Source organism: Homo sapiens, chromosome 4 (assembly GCF_000001405.40).
Source record: "Homo sapiens chromosome 4, GRCh38.p14 Primary Assembly".
In the NCBI taxonomy this organism is placed as follows: domain Eukaryota; kingdom Metazoa; phylum Chordata; class Mammalia; order Primates; family Hominidae; genus Homo; species Homo sapiens.
The window spans coordinates 15,045,015-15,063,929 of record NC_000004.12 but is presented as its reverse complement, the minus strand read 5'-3'; the positions used below and the strand labels follow the sequence as shown (position 1 = coordinate 15,063,929).

The 18,915-nt window shown below is 34.1% G+C and overlaps 1 protein-coding gene and 1 long non-coding RNA gene across 12 annotated transcripts in view; one reads left to right on the top strand and one right to left on the bottom strand.

The window, feature by feature from the left end:
* CPEB2 (cytoplasmic polyadenylation element binding protein 2) overlaps positions 1 to 18,915 on the bottom strand; it is a 67,671-nt gene that overhangs the window by 6,222 nt on the left and 42,534 nt on the right. For all 11 annotated transcript variants that reach the window (XM_005248135.4, XM_011513777.4, NM_001177381.2 and 8 more), the window contains 5 exons: positions 11,346 to 11,516; positions 9,713 to 9,802; positions 5,391 to 5,509; positions 4,629 to 4,743; positions 1,670 to 1,851 (listed from right to left, as the gene is read on the bottom strand). In XM_005248135.4, the coding sequence (XP_005248192.2) occupies positions 1,670 to 1,851; positions 4,629 to 4,743; positions 5,391 to 5,509; positions 9,713 to 9,802; positions 11,346 to 11,516 (677 nt within the window). The remainder of the gene's footprint in view (positions 1 to 1,669; positions 1,852 to 4,628; positions 4,744 to 5,390; positions 5,510 to 9,712; positions 9,803 to 11,345; positions 11,517 to 18,915) is intronic.
* C1QTNF7-AS1 (C1QTNF7 antisense RNA 1) overlaps positions 1 to 18,915 on the top strand; it is a 422,973-nt gene that overhangs the window by 363,985 nt on the left and 40,073 nt on the right. The window lies entirely within an intron of this gene.

Here is an 18,915-nt window from a genome sequence, read left to right as displayed (position 1 = left end):
TAAAATATTTAAGGCTCAAATTCTTTCAAATACAGTTCAAAATTACCTTTGTAGCACATATCTTAGAAAATAAGCTTTTCCCTCAGGTATTTCAATGCCTTTTTAAGAAGGCACATGTATCTCAATTCATCTGCTCTGCAACTGAGTTGCTCTTTAAGAGTCAGTACTCTGCTCCAAATAATCGGTCCTTCACTATAATTTCAGAAACAAAGAGGTATGAGGTATGACACTGTAACAGTCTTTTTCTTCTGGTAGTGTATATTAAATACCATGATTACATACTATGTAAATAACGTCGTCTGTGACCTATCACCTCTCTGTTAGCGGTCTAAACCACTGCTGTACATTTGTGTCACTTCCGGAGCTTTATAACCAATTCAGCAGAACCTCAGGGGGTAGGACCCAAATGTCAAGATTTTTCTAAGTTCCCAGGTGAATAATGTACAGCAGAGGTTGAGAAACACAACACTACAGGAACTCTTAATGTTCAGACAAGTTCAGAAAAGTTACGTATGCGTGTCTTGTCAAAAGCAGAGCACCTCCTCTTAGTTTTTTTTTTTTGGCAACCTTTTAAGTAGCAATGCAAACAAACAAAAAAAACCTACTCTGCATTTGTGAACTGAACCTATGCTGCATTTCTTTTCTAAATGAGACGGTTGGGTAATTACATTGAGGACTACTTCTAGCATGCATGGTCTAGTCAATCGGTATTAATTAACCAGCTTCCCTGTCCCCAAAATAGTCTTTTAATGTGCCAAACAGCCCCAGAAGAGGCTTGAAGAAACTGTTATATTGGGGAAAAGGAGTACCCACTCAAATTGTATCTTCTATCTACTAATTCAGATATAAAAAATTCATTTACCCGCATATTCTTAATGTATTTCTGCTATACTATAATTATAAACATGATTATTTTATAATATATTTAGCTATGTATAGGAACTGTTCACAGATTTTGGCATAAAATAGATTTGTAAATGAATGCTAGTGTCTTTCCCTATTTTAGAAGGTAGTCAGTACTTGGAATTATTCAGTAGGGGTTTCAGTTATCATTCCTAGTACTTCTTACAAGTTCTTATTGTGATGATTCAAGCAATGCTACTAAAAAAATTTTAAGTTTAGGTCAATTATTTTAGAGAAATACACACAATGCATTTTTATTTTAGATTTTGTGACAAATGAAAACAAACATTTAAATAACACTCTCCGTCAAGTTCTATTCTAAGTGCTTATATATATGTAAATTCATTTAATCCTCAAAATTACTGAGAAAGACATGTTATCATTGTTTTCTATTTTACAAGTGAGGAAAAAGAGGCATACAGAAGGTTAATTTGTAGAAATGGGGTTCAATCCCAGGCAGTCTGACTCCAATGTACAGGCTCTTAAAACAACCTCTGCCTCCACGGTTAGAATATTTGACCTTACTGGCTGATTAAAAAATTTTGACATGGCTGCACAATGATATTAATATTTTTACATTATATCTAAAGTTTAAAGTGTGTTCAGTAATTTTCCATTTCAAGGATATTTTTATATAATATCCTTTAAGACTTACAGAAGTATAAAAATTAAAGTGTTCAAATTATATTATTAACTCGTTAGGGTATGAGGCTTTGGATCAGCACCTTATTATAGGACATAAGTGATTTCCCAATATGCAACTTACACGTTTATCAATATCACCATGCTGAAGCTGAACAAACCGAGCACTAATGGCAGCAATATAGCTCTGCTGATTGGAGAAAGCAACTCGCCCAGCACCTTTTGGGTATTTTAGCTCAGGATCTGTATCAATTCCTGCATAACAAACTCCACCATACAGCCGGTCCATGATCATAGCAAGTTCCACTTGAAAAGGAAAAGAAGTTTACATCAAATGTGAGAGAACACAGTAATCAACAATTTTTAAGTACTTTTTGTAAAACGTAAAAGTCAATAGTATATTATCATTTGACCAGGAGTAGAATGGCAGATAAGAGGCTGTTGTTAAAAAAGGACGGGGATCGAGGATGCTTTTTTTAAACTATAAAGTGACTCACCACCATCACATCTACCTACTTACAGCACTAAACCCACTATATACTCTATCTTCTGTCCTATAGAGAAATAGTTCCATGCTCTTTCCTAAATCCAATCCTTTCACTTGCATACTAGATCCCATACACTCTCACTTAGGACACTGCTTCAGCAATTCTCCCCTTTCCCTTCTATACAATCAATTTTCCCAAGTACACTATAATTTTCCTATCTTAAAAAAAATTCCCATAACACTTTTTCTCCCTCTCAGCTACTGCTCCATTTCTCTGTTCCCCTTTACAACCAAATTTCTCAAAATCTGTTCCAGTATTCCCCCCAATTCCTCTCCTCCCTTTCTCTTTATTCAACTCTTTTTCTAACCAGACTATCACACCATGACTCCACTATAATTGTTCAAGCCAAGTCCAATGGTCAATCTATCTGTAAGTAGCATTGAACACAATTAATCCCTTCCTTCTCATTCAAATATTTTCTCCATCTGGCTTCTAGAATATATTATCCCACTAATTCTGCTCCTACCTCACTGATACATTTCTTCTGAGTCTTCCTTGATAGTTCATCCTAAACGCCTTAACTTTTCAATGTCAGAGTACCCTAACTTTCAATCCTTGCAACACTATCTACACTCCTGGCTTTGGTACCTTCATCCTGTATCATAGCTTTAAACACCATCTATATGTTTTTAAGCTCCTACATTTTTATCTCTAGTGTGGACCTCTCCCATGGATGCCAGACTTGTACATGCAACTGTCTACTGGACAACTCGATATTTAACAGGCACTGGCCACACTCGGTATATTAAAAATGGAACTCATAATCTTCCCTTATCCCATTAAACCTGCTCCAATGAGTTTCTGCTGACCCAGTTAGAAAGCAACAGAAAAGATGAAGTTGTCAAGATCTTTGGCTTCATTCTTTCTGTATTCTTCCCTTGCTCCATACTGCACATGCAATCCTGTAAACTTGATTTTAAAACATATCTAGAGTCCAATTGCCTCACCTCCATCACTAACATCCTGATTCATGCTAACATCATTTTTCATCTGGTTCATGGCAATAACCTTATCTCTCTTTGCTTTTGGCCCTTGCCTTCCCAGCTTTTTAAAACAGTATAAAGAGTGATTCTCTTAAAAAATACACCAGATACCACCATAAAAATACATAAAAAAATATACCATATACCATGGTTTAATTGAAATTTCTATTTGGGAGCTCTGAATGGTGCCATAAACTTGTGTTCAAAACCAAGACCACAATCTTCCCTCCCTATCTGCTCCTTCTCCAGTTTTCCTTCCATCTCAGTAAAAGGCATCACTATCCACCCAGTGGCTTATGACTGAAAGATGAGATTCAGTCTTTGTGTCTACCTCATAAACATCTGTCACCTCTGTTCAGTTGGCTTTCTCCACTGCTACCACTAATCCAAGCCACCATTGTCTATCTCCTGGATTGTAATAATAGGATGTTAAACTGGTCTGCCCGCATTTACTCTCACCCTGGCCCCCCTCTCTCTGAATCATTAGCTAAAGTGAACTTTGAAAACTGCAAAGATAATGAAGTCTCTCTTTTGCTTAAAAACTCTTCAATGGTTTACCCTTGCTCTGAGAATAAATACCGAGTTAGTCTATTAGACTTGTATGATTTGACCCCTTCCCTCACTCCTTGTATCCCAAGTCAGGCACTTTGGGCTTCTTTCAGTTCCTTCAAAGCACCCTGTTTCCCTCCACTCAAGACCTTTAAATAAGCTGTTCCCTTTCTGTGAAACACATTCCTCAGAACCCTGCTACCACCCTGATCCTACTCCTTTTGCCCAGTCTTTATATGTCAGCTCAACTACAAATACCTTCAAGATATCAGACTTCAAATACCTTCAAGATATCAGATATCATATTTCCTTGCTACATGCTCTTCTGTTCCCTATAGTACTTCTTTGTAGAAGTCATCATATTCTATAAGTATTTCCATGTATGAATAGTTCTTTAACATATATCTCTATGACTGGGGAGACGATGTTCTCAGTGATGGAAATCACTAACACTCTACACATGGTGCACAGTACCATCTAACAAGTGCAAAGTGGGCATATACATCTACAATTATATTCCTCTGTGACATATTTTGGTAGGTTTTTGGTTCCTAGTTATTGATAAACAGAAGTTTATCATCATTCACTTATCTAAAGTGCTACTTTAATGATTAAAATATAGATAAAAGAGAAAAAAATCCCATATTTCTTTTTCAGATATCAGAATCGATCTACACAAAATAAACAGACCCCAAATTCTCTTATCTCAGAGAGGTACACTTAGGAAATCGGAAGTATTTAGGTGGATTCTTATAGATTTGCTTTGAGTTAGCTACTGCACTAATATTGATAGATAAGTACCCAATTCTCCAGTTGGAGAGTTTCAAGAGGGGGCCTCAGAATTTGTTTCAAAATTCTGTAGTTAGCAGCAATTGGTGCATGCAGAATCTGCTCCTGCTCTGTCCAATAGTGTCATGTACACAATAGCTTCCAAACGTTTATTAAATTGACTAGGACATATTTAAATGATTTTTTTAAACAAAATTGTTAACATTCTACTTACCAGCCCTTAATGGCCTAGGAACACCTCCAACAAAAATTGTTTTTCGGGGATCCAAAGGCTGAGAACCATCCATTACAAAATCACTATCACTTAAATTCCAAGGACGTATTTGAACCTATGAAGAAAATTACATTGGGTCTTACTCCCTTGATGTCTTATGAGAATTTTCTGTTTGTTTGTTTTTGCCAGTTAATAGTGATTCTTTTATTGCTTAAAAATTTGTATAGTGGGATCTGGAAACAAATTATTTTTATAACTTTTGTTGATCTAGATACTATAAATCCGCAGTCTCTGACCTTTTTGGCACCAGGGACCAATTTTGAGGAAGACAGTTTTTCTAAGGATGGAGGTGGTGGAGGATGGTTTCGAGATCAAAGTGTTCCACCTCAGATCATCAGGCATTAGATTCTCATAAAGAACATGCAACCTAGATCACTCGCACGTGCAGTTCACAATAGGGTTCGCATTCCTATGAGAATAGAGTGCCATCTCTGATCTGACAGGAGGCAGAGCTCAGGCAGTAATGCTGGCTTGCCTGCCACTCATCTCCTGCTGTGTGGCCTGGTTCCTAAAAGATCATGGACCACCAGTACTGGTCCACTGCCCAGGGGTTGGGGACTCCTGCTATAAATTATCTGGATGTTTCAAAAACTAAAACTCAACATGGTAGTTTAATTGTTCTTTTATTAATTAACAATCATTTCAAAACAATTTTTGAAAAATTTGCATTTGTAGCCTGAAGTTCATGTGGTATTTACTTACTGGTTTGTCCTTGATAGTAGGGCTAGAAACACACAGATAGAGTTTTCCATCTTCTTCAATACAAGCATCAATGAGTGCCTGAACTGAGCTCTCTTCTTGAAAGAGAAGAAATGCATAGCCTGGAATAACCATTAAAGATGAGGCAATATGTCAAGCCAAGTGATTTTACTCCAAATTTCAGTACTATTTAGAAAATACATGCTTTTGAAAAAAAAAAACAAACTATCAAATAGGATGAAAAACCATTTACCTTCTACAAGAGAACACAATATCTTATGTAATACACATTAAAACAGATACTCAGTAAAGCAATTGGCTACTTTATATAGAACACTTGCTATCAGATACTGTATTAACTTACATGCATTAGTATTTGATTCTCAAAAGTCTATGAAATATTATTCCTGTTTTACAGAAGAAAAAAATCAAAGTACCACCAAAGTCAGTCTCATAGTAAATGGTTGAATAATTTCAAACCGAGGTCAGCCCCAAGGTCTCCCATGCGCTTTCTAGTAGTGATACTACCTTCTTAAAGAGCTTGGCAGAATTAACCAGGTGAGTATATCTGGAGCTAGAGTTTGCTATAAATGCCCTCAGGTTAATCCAAGTTCTAGACTTTTAGACTGGAACGCACTTGGAAAGGTCCAGGAAATCCCCTAAGCAGAGGAAACATTCCACAGTCTCATGAAAACTTCCCAATGATACTAAGAAAGCTACAGTAGGAAGGCTGGAATGAAACATGTTCCTTAATAAAACATGGGTCAGATGGATCAAAACTTTTAAATCAAGCCTCAACTTGGAAAGCAGTGGAATACATTTTTCAAACTGTCTGGAGACTATCTAGACTTGTAAACAACCAATTGTCAATCTTTAATAAAAAATCATGTATCCAGCAGACAGAATAGACTACATTATAAAAAGAAGGCATCAAAATTTACACTGCAAGTTTACTATTATGTGATTATTCCCAGCAGGTGATAGCTATAAATGATCTATCCATTACCTTGGCAAGATTTCTATGCGAACAAATGTACAGCATTTTAATCTAGTCCCAGTACAAAGCAGACATCAGGCAAGCCATGTATGTCTGTTCCATCGTATAATGGGAAATGTAAGGTCATGTTTTACTGAAGTCAGAAAACTCAGCTTATTGTCAACCATAGCTTTATGCCACAAAAGTCTGATGTGACACTAAAGTACTTCATTTTAATAAAATAAAAATACCTGTTTGCATAAAAAATACCTGGAGCCATTTCACCTTATATAAATGATTTCACCCTATATAAATACAAACTTCCAAAGGTAAGATTACACAGGATTAAAAAACATGTCTTAGATTTTTTACACTGCTGGAAACAATTTCAATATTCTTGAAAATAATGAAGATTTTTTTAAGGCTTTAATTTTGATACAAAATAATAATCTGGGAACTACAAGTATTTTGTAATAATTAAAAGGATATAAGACCAATTTACTAAAATAGTATATTAAATTCAATATTTTAATGTTGGCCAATTTTCATAATTTTTGATATTAATATTTTAATATTGCTTAATTTAAAGTAATACTCTAAATTCAATATCTTTAATATTGCTCAATTTTTGTTATTATTAGGGAATGTTTATATTACAAAAATTAAGCCATATCAGGTAAATTATGACTTACCTGATGCAAGTCATTAGATATTAAAATATTCTTAACAAAAACATACTACATAATAGCTTCTTTCGAATTTGTTAAAGCAAGCTAATAATCACTTAAGGTGAAGGTTATTCACTGCAAAGGAAACTTACGTACATGTGTGGCTTAGCATCTAAGGGACTCTAGTCACTGCTGTAATTACAAGGTAGCTTCACCCACTGGATGCTTCTATACCAGTGTTTTCCAAACCATGGAAAATGCTGAATTACAGAAATAATAAAATTGCTTGAAAGAACAAGGTTTGGGGATACTGGTCTTTGGAAATGTCTACATTTAACTGTAATTGTACCAAAAAAACTATGATTTGCCAGTGCCAATTTTATTTTTTCGATTAGAGAAACTAAATACTGCAAAACCACAATAACGATAGCAACAATACCAATAAAGACAACAACTATTCTGTTTCATTAAATATGTTCCATCCCATCTTTCTAGGCTTAAAGTACACCATCCTTGTAAGTGAACAAGTAGCTCATGCAAAAATCTGCATCTTTCTCCATCCAAACAATTTCTAATTCCTTTTTAAAATTCTATTTCCATTCCTGCCTGGAACGCTGTTCAAGTGCTTTTTATCTATCTATATACAATACCTTAGATTAATTCCAAACCTCTCAGTGAAGCTTTCCCCCATCTACTTGAAGTAATTTCTCCACCCTATAGTATTTTTTGTTATCTCATTTATTAGGCAGTTAACAATCCGTGAATTATTGAGAATATGAACATTCACAAAGGTGAATAAAGACACTATTTTACAGACCATTGAAAGAAACTGACATTAATAAAATAATTACAAATGTTTAAAGTTGTAAAAATGTAATACTGCAACTGTGATGAGTGCTAGGAGTGAAAGACACAGACAGCACTAGGAGTTGGGCAGGAGGAACTGACCTCATTTGGTAGATCCTCAATGTTTTCTGTGATCAACTTACACTTAAGCTTGAGATACAAAAGATAAGTAGGGAATATATAAAGAGACCTAAGGAAGAGATACAATCAGTCTAGAGAGTATCATACATAAAAGCACTGAGGCTGGAGAGAACAAGGCCAGTTTGTGGGACTGGAAGGAAACAAGCAGCAATAGTAGAAGAAGCTAGAAAGAAGGCAAGGCCAGGCAGAAGGAATGCATTTTTGCTTTTATCCTAAAAATAAGAGAAACCATTAAAGGGTTTATGCAGGTAAGTAAGGAATAGCACCATCCAATGAGTTTTCAAAGACTGCTGTGACTGGACGATAGGAGAAAACTGAAGAGGGCTAGAGATGTGGAGAGACTAGAAAGACAGCTGAAGCAGTCCAGGCAAGTGATGATGGTAGCTTAGTCGGGAACATTACAAAATAACTCAATACTCTTGAGTATTCAATAAAAATGGCATTTATAAAGTAAACTTTATGAAATGGCAAGAGAGTAAAACTATGGACAACACTAAAACTAAGCTAATAAATAAACATCTCTATCTATGTGGAGATAATTTCCTGTCTATACCAAGGTTTTGTGACCTCCAATGAACTCCAGACTACATGGAGAGAGGTAGATAGCTTTAATCAGATTCTCATAGAGGCCTGGGATCCAGAATCCCTACTCAAAAGATGCTCTTGATTCCCTACATACATATAGAATCTGCAAGTATTAAAAAAACATTGCATTACTCCATTTATCTAAAAAACTATGTGAACTATTAGTGAAGGTTCTATAATTCTCAATGGCAGAAAGTAGATATGACTCATATAATTCATCACCAGAAACCTGTACCTAGTTTTTATGTGCTAATAACTTCTTTATCATGCTTCATTTCCCAGAGTCAAAATCAAACCATTTAACAGTTCTATTGGGGTCTTTTCTCCAGGCTTGACAATTCACTAAGTCATGAAACTGAATAGTATGTGTGGTGTGCTTTTTCTAAAATTATATTTCAGCAATGTTTAAAGTAAAGTCTTAATCTTTGAACCTCCCCTCTTTTTTTTATTCATTTCAGAGAACCTTCCATTAGCAATTCTGACTAGCTGAATTAATGTTCAAGACTCCTTTCTCCTCTCTTCCTCTTGTTATTGGGGGCAGGATATACTTCCTCTCCCCACAGATGGTGACTTGATCATGCGACTTGCATGTGAAGGTTAGCACAATTTGTAATTCTTGTCCTGTGGTGATCAGCCACGGTGTCTTCCTAGCAATAACTGACTAACATAACTAAGCATCTTCCTCAAGTTTTACATCTTTATATAATTGAAAAAAAAAATAGACCCAACTAGCTACTTTGTCTTTTATCTAAATTATTTATTCATCAACAGTTGGTAATAATTTCTACTGCTCTGCTGTTATCTAGAACATTTAATGTAAATCTGATATTTCAACTGTTCATAAATTTATATTTTATGAAAGACCAATCACTTCACATAGATCTTAATTTCATAATGCAGAGAGATATTGTTTCATATGTCTATACCCAAGTTACTTGAAATGATGCTTTAGACAGAGAAAATACTCAAACATTTGTTGATCTGAGTCTATGAAATTATCAAATCATAGCAAGTCTCTTATGATTCCTAACTGGCTAAGTAATTGCTATTCTTTCTTTTGCTCTCATACAACCAATTTCCTAGCAAATATTAACAATAACAATCCTTACCTTTTGGTGGAAAATAGGACTTGCTTTCTGCTTTATGAGGCCAATCTACTACCAAAGGCCCAAATCTTCTGAAGCTAGCAGTTATTTCATCTTAAGAAAGTACAATAATACACATTAGAAATTAGTTTCAGTGATTCGTTCTAAGAAATTCTGTACTGTTACTATGAAGATTTAACATTTAAAAGTGCCAAATACCTTAAGATAAATTAGAATATAAACACTGGGAATATGTCTAATATACTTATTAAAATAATATGTCAAGATTAACAATTTTTGTCAAAATAAATTCACTTTTAAGCAATGCATTGGTTAGAATACTCAATTCCATGTGAATTTTAAAATTTTATATAACATTGTATGGATACTAATGACTTTATAGTACACCAAACCACAAATAGCACTGGATTGAAAAAAATGCCAACATATATAAATAAAATCTATTACTGCTTCACAAATAAAATCATTTTATTATAGGAAAAAAGGTCTGCTAAAACAAGACTTGAATAACTACAATGTTGAAAAAATATACAAGGGTCTGATACATGCCTGGTAGTTTCACTGAAATCCACATAGGTTACATCCAATTGCTATGTCTTACGTTATTTCATTACATAGAAAGCTTATGAAGATCAATACTTAGAATTAAGTTTGTGGATATCTGAATCATAACTAAAAAATTTCCTAAAATGTAAGAATGAGTGATACATTTCCCATAACCTCACAAATATAGCTTAATATTTTAAGTCTTCAATTAATTTTCTTTTGTTATCACATACAATTACTAGTGTTTGTGAAACCCTAATTTCCTATTCATGTTCTGTTTCCATTTCCCTTTCGGGTTTAATAGCCTCTTTCTTCCCTGTTTCTAAGAGCACATTTATCCTTAAAGAAATTAAACTTTTGGCCGGGTATGGTGGCTCATGCCTGTAATCCCAGCACTTTGGGAGGCTAAAGTGGGCGGATCATGAGGTCAGGAGATCAAAACCATTCTGGCTAACACAGTGAAACCCCGTCTCACCTAAAAATACAACAAATTAGCGGGGCATGGTGGCGGGCGCCTGTAGTCCCAGCTACTCAGGAGGCTGAGGCAGGAGAATCGCTTGAACCCGGGAAGTGGAGTTTGCAGCGAGCCGAGATTGCGCCACTGCACTCCAGCCTGGAAGACAGAGCGAGACTCCACCTCAAAAAAAAAAATAAATAAATAAATAAAAATAAAAATAAACTTTTGATTACCAAGCATTGCAGATATTATCTTATGGTTGGTTCCATTTATTTCAGTGTATGTGTGCATGCACACATTATGGTGATACAAAAAGCTTTAAGTTTTATATACCTAAATATATTCTATATTTTAAAAACAAGTAGAATATGACCTAGGTCATGAAAATCTTATTTACAAAAAATGCTCACAGTTACAAATATGATAAGATCTAAAGTGAAAAATAAAAAAGCTTTTGTTCAACTACTTTCATATTTCAACAGGTGATAAAGTATTTTAAAAGAAGAAAATGCATTCTAATTCTGAAAATCTCTAGGTGGTAAAAACTTTCATAGTCCATTCACATTAAATTTCATATCTTTTTGTTTTTGTTAAAGCCCAAATCACCATGTTAATAAATATCTTAATAAATACCTTCATCAATATCTGGAGGAAGACCACCAACAAAAACTTTTCGAGAGAAGCGTTCTATTCGCTCTCCATTTTGGTGAGCTGAATAACAGGTGGGTGAATTTAAAACTCCAACTTGATCACTGTGACCATCATCAAGCAAGCCATCATCTATTGGAAAGAGGGAAGAACGACCTAGAATAAAGAACAAATACAACTTGAATCTCAGATCTGAGAAAATGATAAATTTAAGCATAAAAATACCAATGACAAATTCAAAGACTTAAAAATGAAGGTGATGCAGGTGAACATAAAAATTAAGAGAAATTTAAATAGCATGTGGTTTTAATTACCTGGATTCAAGAAAGAAGCAATCTAAAGAGTGACTTAGAAATAAACATAGTCATATGTCAACAATTAAACTGCAAAAGAGATACTAGATCACTTCAACTTGTTATGAGCAAGAACTTGTTATAAGCAAGAACCTAATGTATGTGGACAGTTAGAATGGATATATAACAGGAGAAACTTTTCAGAAACTGGTGGCAGAAAGGAAATGACACAGACTAAATAGATAAGGGGATATAATTTATAAAAAATCACTTGTAGACTACAGTAAGTAAGGATGAGGAGAACAAGTAATACTTGTATACAAGGTCTTCACCTAATTTATTACACGTGTGCCAATTACATGAAACAGTAGACGGAGCTTCCGCACATGTGCAAAATAGAAAAGGTACCCCCTCTAGCACGTTAGTGCCCATTTGAGCCCACATTTCAGGAGGTAATCCTTATATAGGGCACATCCTGCACAATCCTCTGAAGTAATCCCCACTCTGTGGGTAATCCCTCCACAAAACTTAAATGCCCTGATATACTCCCTGGCTGTCAAGGAATGTACATTTAGAAAGATAAGATCTATATATGTAACCATGGTACACATCCATAAGAAAGCTTCAAAGTGCTCAGAGGACATATTCTGGAGGAAAGGAGTCAAATAAAAGGATGATTTCCTAAATCTCTAAGTGAAATTAAATAGCATTTGGGATAAAAAGAGAAAAATAGCAGTACATAGTGAGGCATTAGAAAGAGGAGAATATCTATAGGTGGAAATATTTACAGGAACATGGTTTTCAGTAAATTTTCCTTTTTTTCCAAGTGAAAGGAGAAACATAAGAAAATGTAGGAAAAATTGAACTTACTTGAGAAATAAGGAATAGTCAAGGTTGGCTGAAATATGTTGGAAACAAGGAGAGTAAAAGCCAGAAAAGCCCTTTGAGGCTAGAGTATTTAGCATTGAATGACAGGCTAACGAGACATTTAGTAGGTGGTGAAGATAATAAACTAGATACAGGGATTCAATCAAGATTATAACTTTTTCTATGCATTAGGGAGACTTAGTCAATATGGATAAGGTAGTTGAAAATGAGCAGATCAGAAGCTGTGCAAAAAATCCACAAAGGATGGATGGCAGTCACAAGCAGATAGGAAACAAAATAGGGAGAAAGAATGAAAAAGGAGAGATCTAAGGAAGACTTTAGAAAATGATAAAACCATTAACTGATATAAGGACAGTTAAGACCAGAAACTGGTATAAGAAAGGAAAATAATTTAAGCTTTAGATGTAAAGTTTTATATGCTGTTAGGATGTTCAGAAGCAAATGTATAGTAGGAAGCTGAAAAGGAAGTGGAGAAAAGAAATGTCATATTTCTGAGAAAATAATTTGGAGTCAACTCCATGGGTTATAGTTTAAGGTCCTTTATAACATCAATGATAAACACTCCAGCGAGAAATGATGAGGACAGTTCCTTGGGAAACTTACAAGGAAGAAGCAGAACATTCAAGGAGTTAGAGAAAGGAGTGGTAAGAAAAGTGGGAGGGCAGCCAAAATATCATGGTAATAGAAGCACCAAAAAACCAATAAAAGAACGAAAGAGCAATTAAGTAACAATGTGAGATATTAAGATAATTACTTTTAATAAACAGTTGTTTTTGAGGACATACATGATCTGTGAAGGTAGCTGTTTCAGGAAAGTTGGGTAGGAGTCACATTGCATGTATTTAGAGTTTTATTACGTATAGAGATCAAATGAAGAGAAGTATGTTAGAGAAGGAAAAACAGTAAGAATATGGACAAGTTGTTTTTCTTTCAGTATTAACTGAAGGATTTTTTTGGATAGGAGACAATGCATATAATCTATAGCAGCGATCCCCAACCTTTTCGGCACCAGGGACCAGTTTTGTGGACAACAATTTTTCCACAGCAGGGGGATGATTTTGGGATGAAAATGTTCCACCTCAGATCATCAGGCATTAGATTCTCATAAGGAGCACACAACCTAGATCCTTCACACATGCAGTTCACAATAGGGTTCACGCTCCTGTGAGAATCTAATGCTACTGCTGATCTGACAGGAGGTGGAGCTCAGGCAGGCAGCAATGCTCACTTGCCCTCCACTCACCTCCTGCTGTGTGGCCTGGTTCCTAACAGACCATGGACCAGTATCGGTTTTATGTTGGGTATCTGTCTATATATTAAACAAACAGGCCACGGACCGGACCGTTTTATGTTGGGTATTTGTTTATATATTAAATCACATGCCATAGAACATCTTGAACAATATGACACATGATGCAAGTGATACAAACAAAGACAATTAGAAATGTGACAGCCTGAACAGAATGGGTTGGGGACAAGAAGGAAGGGACCACATGCCTGTCAGAGTGAGGGAGCTAGCTACCTAGATGTTTGACATAAAAATTTAGTTTATAAGACACAACAACAGAGAGAAAGATGATATTTGATATAGGAAATGAATTATTCTAAAGATTCAAATGCTGTTTAAATATGATGTTCTGAAAAATACCCATGTTCACTGAGTAACTTTGTGAATATTGCTTAACTTTTCAAATACCGCTGTTATTAGAAACAGGAAGCAATGTAAAACAAAATGTCAGTATTTTTTGTCATCAATAGAAAGGAAACTCTTCAACATGAAACTATTTTTACTCAATAAAATGAACATCAAGGTCCACTAAAAATAATATTAATTGTGAATAACTGGTCAAACTTTTAAAGGTTAGACTTTAATTGAATAATTCTCTACTTTAAAAGGAATAAGATAAACAGCATACATACAAACGATTTTAAGGAAAAAAATCACAAATCCAAATTCTATATTTATTTCAGATGTACAATACTTTGGAAAGTTTTTCACTTTAAAATGCCCTAACACAAATAAAAACTTAGCAGTGTCATAAATACAGTAAGTATTCAAATGTCTTTCTAACAGACATTTAAGTTGAGAAAAAATATGGATCACAAATACTTAGGGTCTATATTAAAAAAAAAAGAATGCGGTGACAAATCACACTATAAGCAATGCCAAAGAGAAAAGTGACCCAAAAGTGACTCAAACTTTTTGTTTACTATAATAAAATATTACTTAGTATTCATATAACTAAAAACATCTATAATCTATTAACGAAGTTCAGCTAAACAAAGAATGTAACGAAAAGTTTAAGAACATTTTGCACACTAGCCATACTAACAAGAATCTTCACTGTTGGACAATAATGACTGCTTTTTTTCAAGAAGCCATAAAAGCTACAGATTTAAATACTCATTTAAAAGAAGAGTTAACTGAATATATATCATTGACAAAGTCTGACCTTTTACCTTGCCAATTATCCTTTTATCATATTCCAAATTAATATGACAATAAAAGGAGAACCATTAAATAAGTTATATCTACCACTGTAGTATACTTTAAACATGCTTTCTAAGAAGGATACCATACGTATGTTTTCAGGTTCTTACACCTCAAAGGAATAAAACTGAATGATAATGAAACACAACAAATTCATTTTGCTGGAATGCAGCAAAAGCCAGGCTCAAAGGAAAATTCATAGTTTTAAAAGCATATTAGAAAACAAGACATGCTTAAAACAAATCATCTTGTTTCTACCACAAAAAGCTAGAAAAAGAACAGCAAATAAAATACAAAGAAAGTACGATGAAGGAAATAAAGTAACAAAAAAGAGACATCAATCAACACAGAACTTACAAACATTAAAAGATTAAAAAGAATGTTATTAGCCACTTTATGGTAATAAATTTAACAACTAGAGGAAACAAATCCCTTGAAAAATGCAGCTTTTCAAAAATGGCACAGGGAGAAAAAATCTGAAAAGTTCTTTGTCTGCTAAAAAAAAATGAAAGTCATAACTTAAAATAAAAAAATCTTCCGACAGAGAAAAATCCAGGCCTAGATGGCTTTACTGGCAAATGAACTAGACTTTTGAAGAAGAAAAAATGGCAATTTTATACAAACTCTTCCAGAGAATAAAGAAAGAGGAAGCACTTCACAACTTTTTTTTACAAGTGCAATACTAAAATCTGACAAAAACATAAGGAAACTATATACCAATATCCCTCATGAACACAAATGCAAAAATCCTAAAAAATATATTGGCAGAATGAATCCAGAAGTATAGATAAAAATGGAAAACAAATCATGATTAAGTGGGGTTCACCCCAGGAACGTAAGATTGATTTATCATTTTAAAACCAATTACTGTTAATTGTACTACATAAACAGACAAAAATAGAAATACCATAAAATTATTTCCATAAATGTAGGAAATGCATCTGATAAAACTCAACAGCTATTCATAATTAAAAAAAAAAAAACCACAACTCCCAGAAAACTAGGAGTAGGAGGGAATTTCTTCAATCCAATAAAGAGCATTTAAAAAAAAAAGAGTGAAAGTCTGTAATAATAAATTATCAAATGGTTTCTCTTGAAGGTTTGGAAGGATGTTCACTCTATTTCTACTCAGCATTGTACTACTGGAGGTACAACAAATCAAAGAAGATGAAAAAAATAATTTAAAGTCATGAACACTGGCAAAGAAAAATAAAATTACTTAGTATAGACATAATTGTACATGTAAAATTCGAAGAAATCAAACTAGTAGAAATAATTGTATTTATCTAGGGAAGAAATGCAAATTCAATTTACAAAAACCAAATTATTTCTAAATGCTAGTAATAAACTGGGAAAAATTTTAAATATCATTTCCATACCTCATCCAAACCCACCAAATACTGACAAATAAACTTAACACAAGATATGTAAGACTTTTACACCGAAAATGACAAAAATTTGCTGTGGAAAAATGTTAAAAATATGAAATAAATGAATAAACAGAAGAAACCATGTTAGATGTAAATTCTTTCCAAATTATCCAATCTACAGACTGGATACAATCCATCCAAAATCTCAGCACACTGTCTTCTAGAAATTCACAAGCCAGTTCTAAAATTTATGATAAATCAAAGGCCTACGAACAATCAAGGAGAGCGTACAAAACAAACAAACAAAAAGCCAAAGTTGGAGGATTTACACTACCAAGTTTCAAGACTCACTAGTTAGCTATAGTTATTGAGACTGTAAAACTGATATTAGACAGATAAATGGAACATAATAGAGTCTAGAAATGGGCCTATACATGTACAGTCACTTGATGTTTTTCAAAGGTACCAATACAGTTCAATGTGGAAAAGTAAATCTTTTCAATAAATGGATTTCTAGTTGGAGGGGGAAAAATAAATTTGATCCTTGTATCACACCATACTGAAAAATAAATCCAAGAAGGATCACAGACTTAAATGCAAAAGTTAAAACAACGAAACTAGAATTTCTTCATAACCTTGTGGGTAGTGATAATTTCTTGGGACTAAATGACACTAATGGTGAATGAAAATAATTGGATTTTTATTAAAATTTAGACATTTTTCTGCTTATCAAAGATACTGTTAAAAAGTGGATGGCAAGCAATACGCTACTGGAAAATAGGACAAAATATATAAAGAACTCCCATAAATGAAGAAAAATGACCCAATTAAAAATGAGCAAAAGACTTGTAATGGAACTTTACAGAAGAATACAATGGAATGGGTTAGAAGCACATGAAAAGGTGCTTAGATGTCATCCTTAGTCATCAGGAAACTGCAAATTAGAGCCACAGTGAGGGACTACACACCACCAGAATGGATAAAATTAAAAAGCCAACACTTGGCCAGGCGCGATGGCTCATGCCTGTAATCCCAGCACTTTGGGAGGCTGAGGCAGGCAGATCACCTGAGGTGAGGAGTTTGAGACCAGCCTGGCCAACATCGTGAAACCCCGTCTCTACTAAAAATATAAAAATTAGCCGGGTGTGGTGGCGCATGTCTGTAATCCCAACTACTCAGAAGGCTGAGGCAGAAGAATCGCTTCAACCTAGGAGGTGGAGGTTGCAGTGAGCCGAGATCGGGCCATTGCACTCCAGCCTGCCTGGGCAGCACGAGCAAAACTCCATCTCAAAAAAAAAAGGCCAACACAGTCTCATACTCTACTGGGGTATAAAACTGGAAACTATTTGGCAGTTTCTAATAAAGTTGAACATATACTTGCTCTATGAACTAGTAATTCCACTTTTACTTATACATCCAAGAGAAACGAGTGCTCATGTCCACCCACATACAAAAAGGTACAAAAATATTCATGGAAGGTTTATTCATAACAAGTACCAAATGTATAACTCAAACATCTATCAATAGGAAAATGGATAAACAAATTCATACAATAAAATGTTATTCACCAATAAGAAATAACTGATAAAAACTACTAATTGTAATTTCCTTTCTATACAATTTCCGTACAAAAAGCTAATCATTTCTCTTTTACTTGAGACTGATACTTATAAATATTTAAAAGTAATTACTTATGAAATTATTTTTTTCTTTTAAAAGAAGAGCTGATATGGTTATTCCTAAGGCTCTTACCACAAGAGTTAGATGTGTTTTTTATTTCACCAGATAAATAATCTTAAAGGTAATATTTCCTTGCCGTTAAAATCAGTAAGAGAACCCTAAAGATATTAATTTGCAAACCCTATACTCAAAACAATTTAAAACTACAGTTTTGCATTGTTTAAGGTGGCAGATTTTTTTTGCTTATGGTCTTCTGCTTTTTGATTTTAGAAATTATCACTTGATCTTGACTCCAAACACTTCATTTCTCTGCATTGTTATGAAAGAAACCCAAATCAAAATTATTGACCCTACTACAAGGCAACAAGAATAAACCGTTACACAAAAATGCTACTCCCATGAGTCTAAATTAAAATGTATATACGCTCATATATATATAATATGTATGAATATGTGTATATATACACACATATGTACAGGTATTTATGACAGATATTTATGTACATAAGCACTGATACATACATATGAATGAAAGGCAAATTGAAGTTTTGTAATAGAAAATACAGATAAAACATCTGAGAATTTAGAAGCAGAGAAGATTAATTATAACCCAGGCTGGAGTGAGATTCTAATTAAAGGTTCTTTAAAAGAGAATGATTTACAAAGAATGAGATAGTTATAGACAGAAAAGGATAGAGGAGAAAAAGAAGTAGAGGGAAAAAGCCTTCCTTCGGTAGAAGATATTTGCTTAGCCAAAAGCACAGAGAAATATTCCAAAGGCCATATTAAGGTAAAATACAGAAAACAGGAGATATTCTTAACTATGAGTTCAA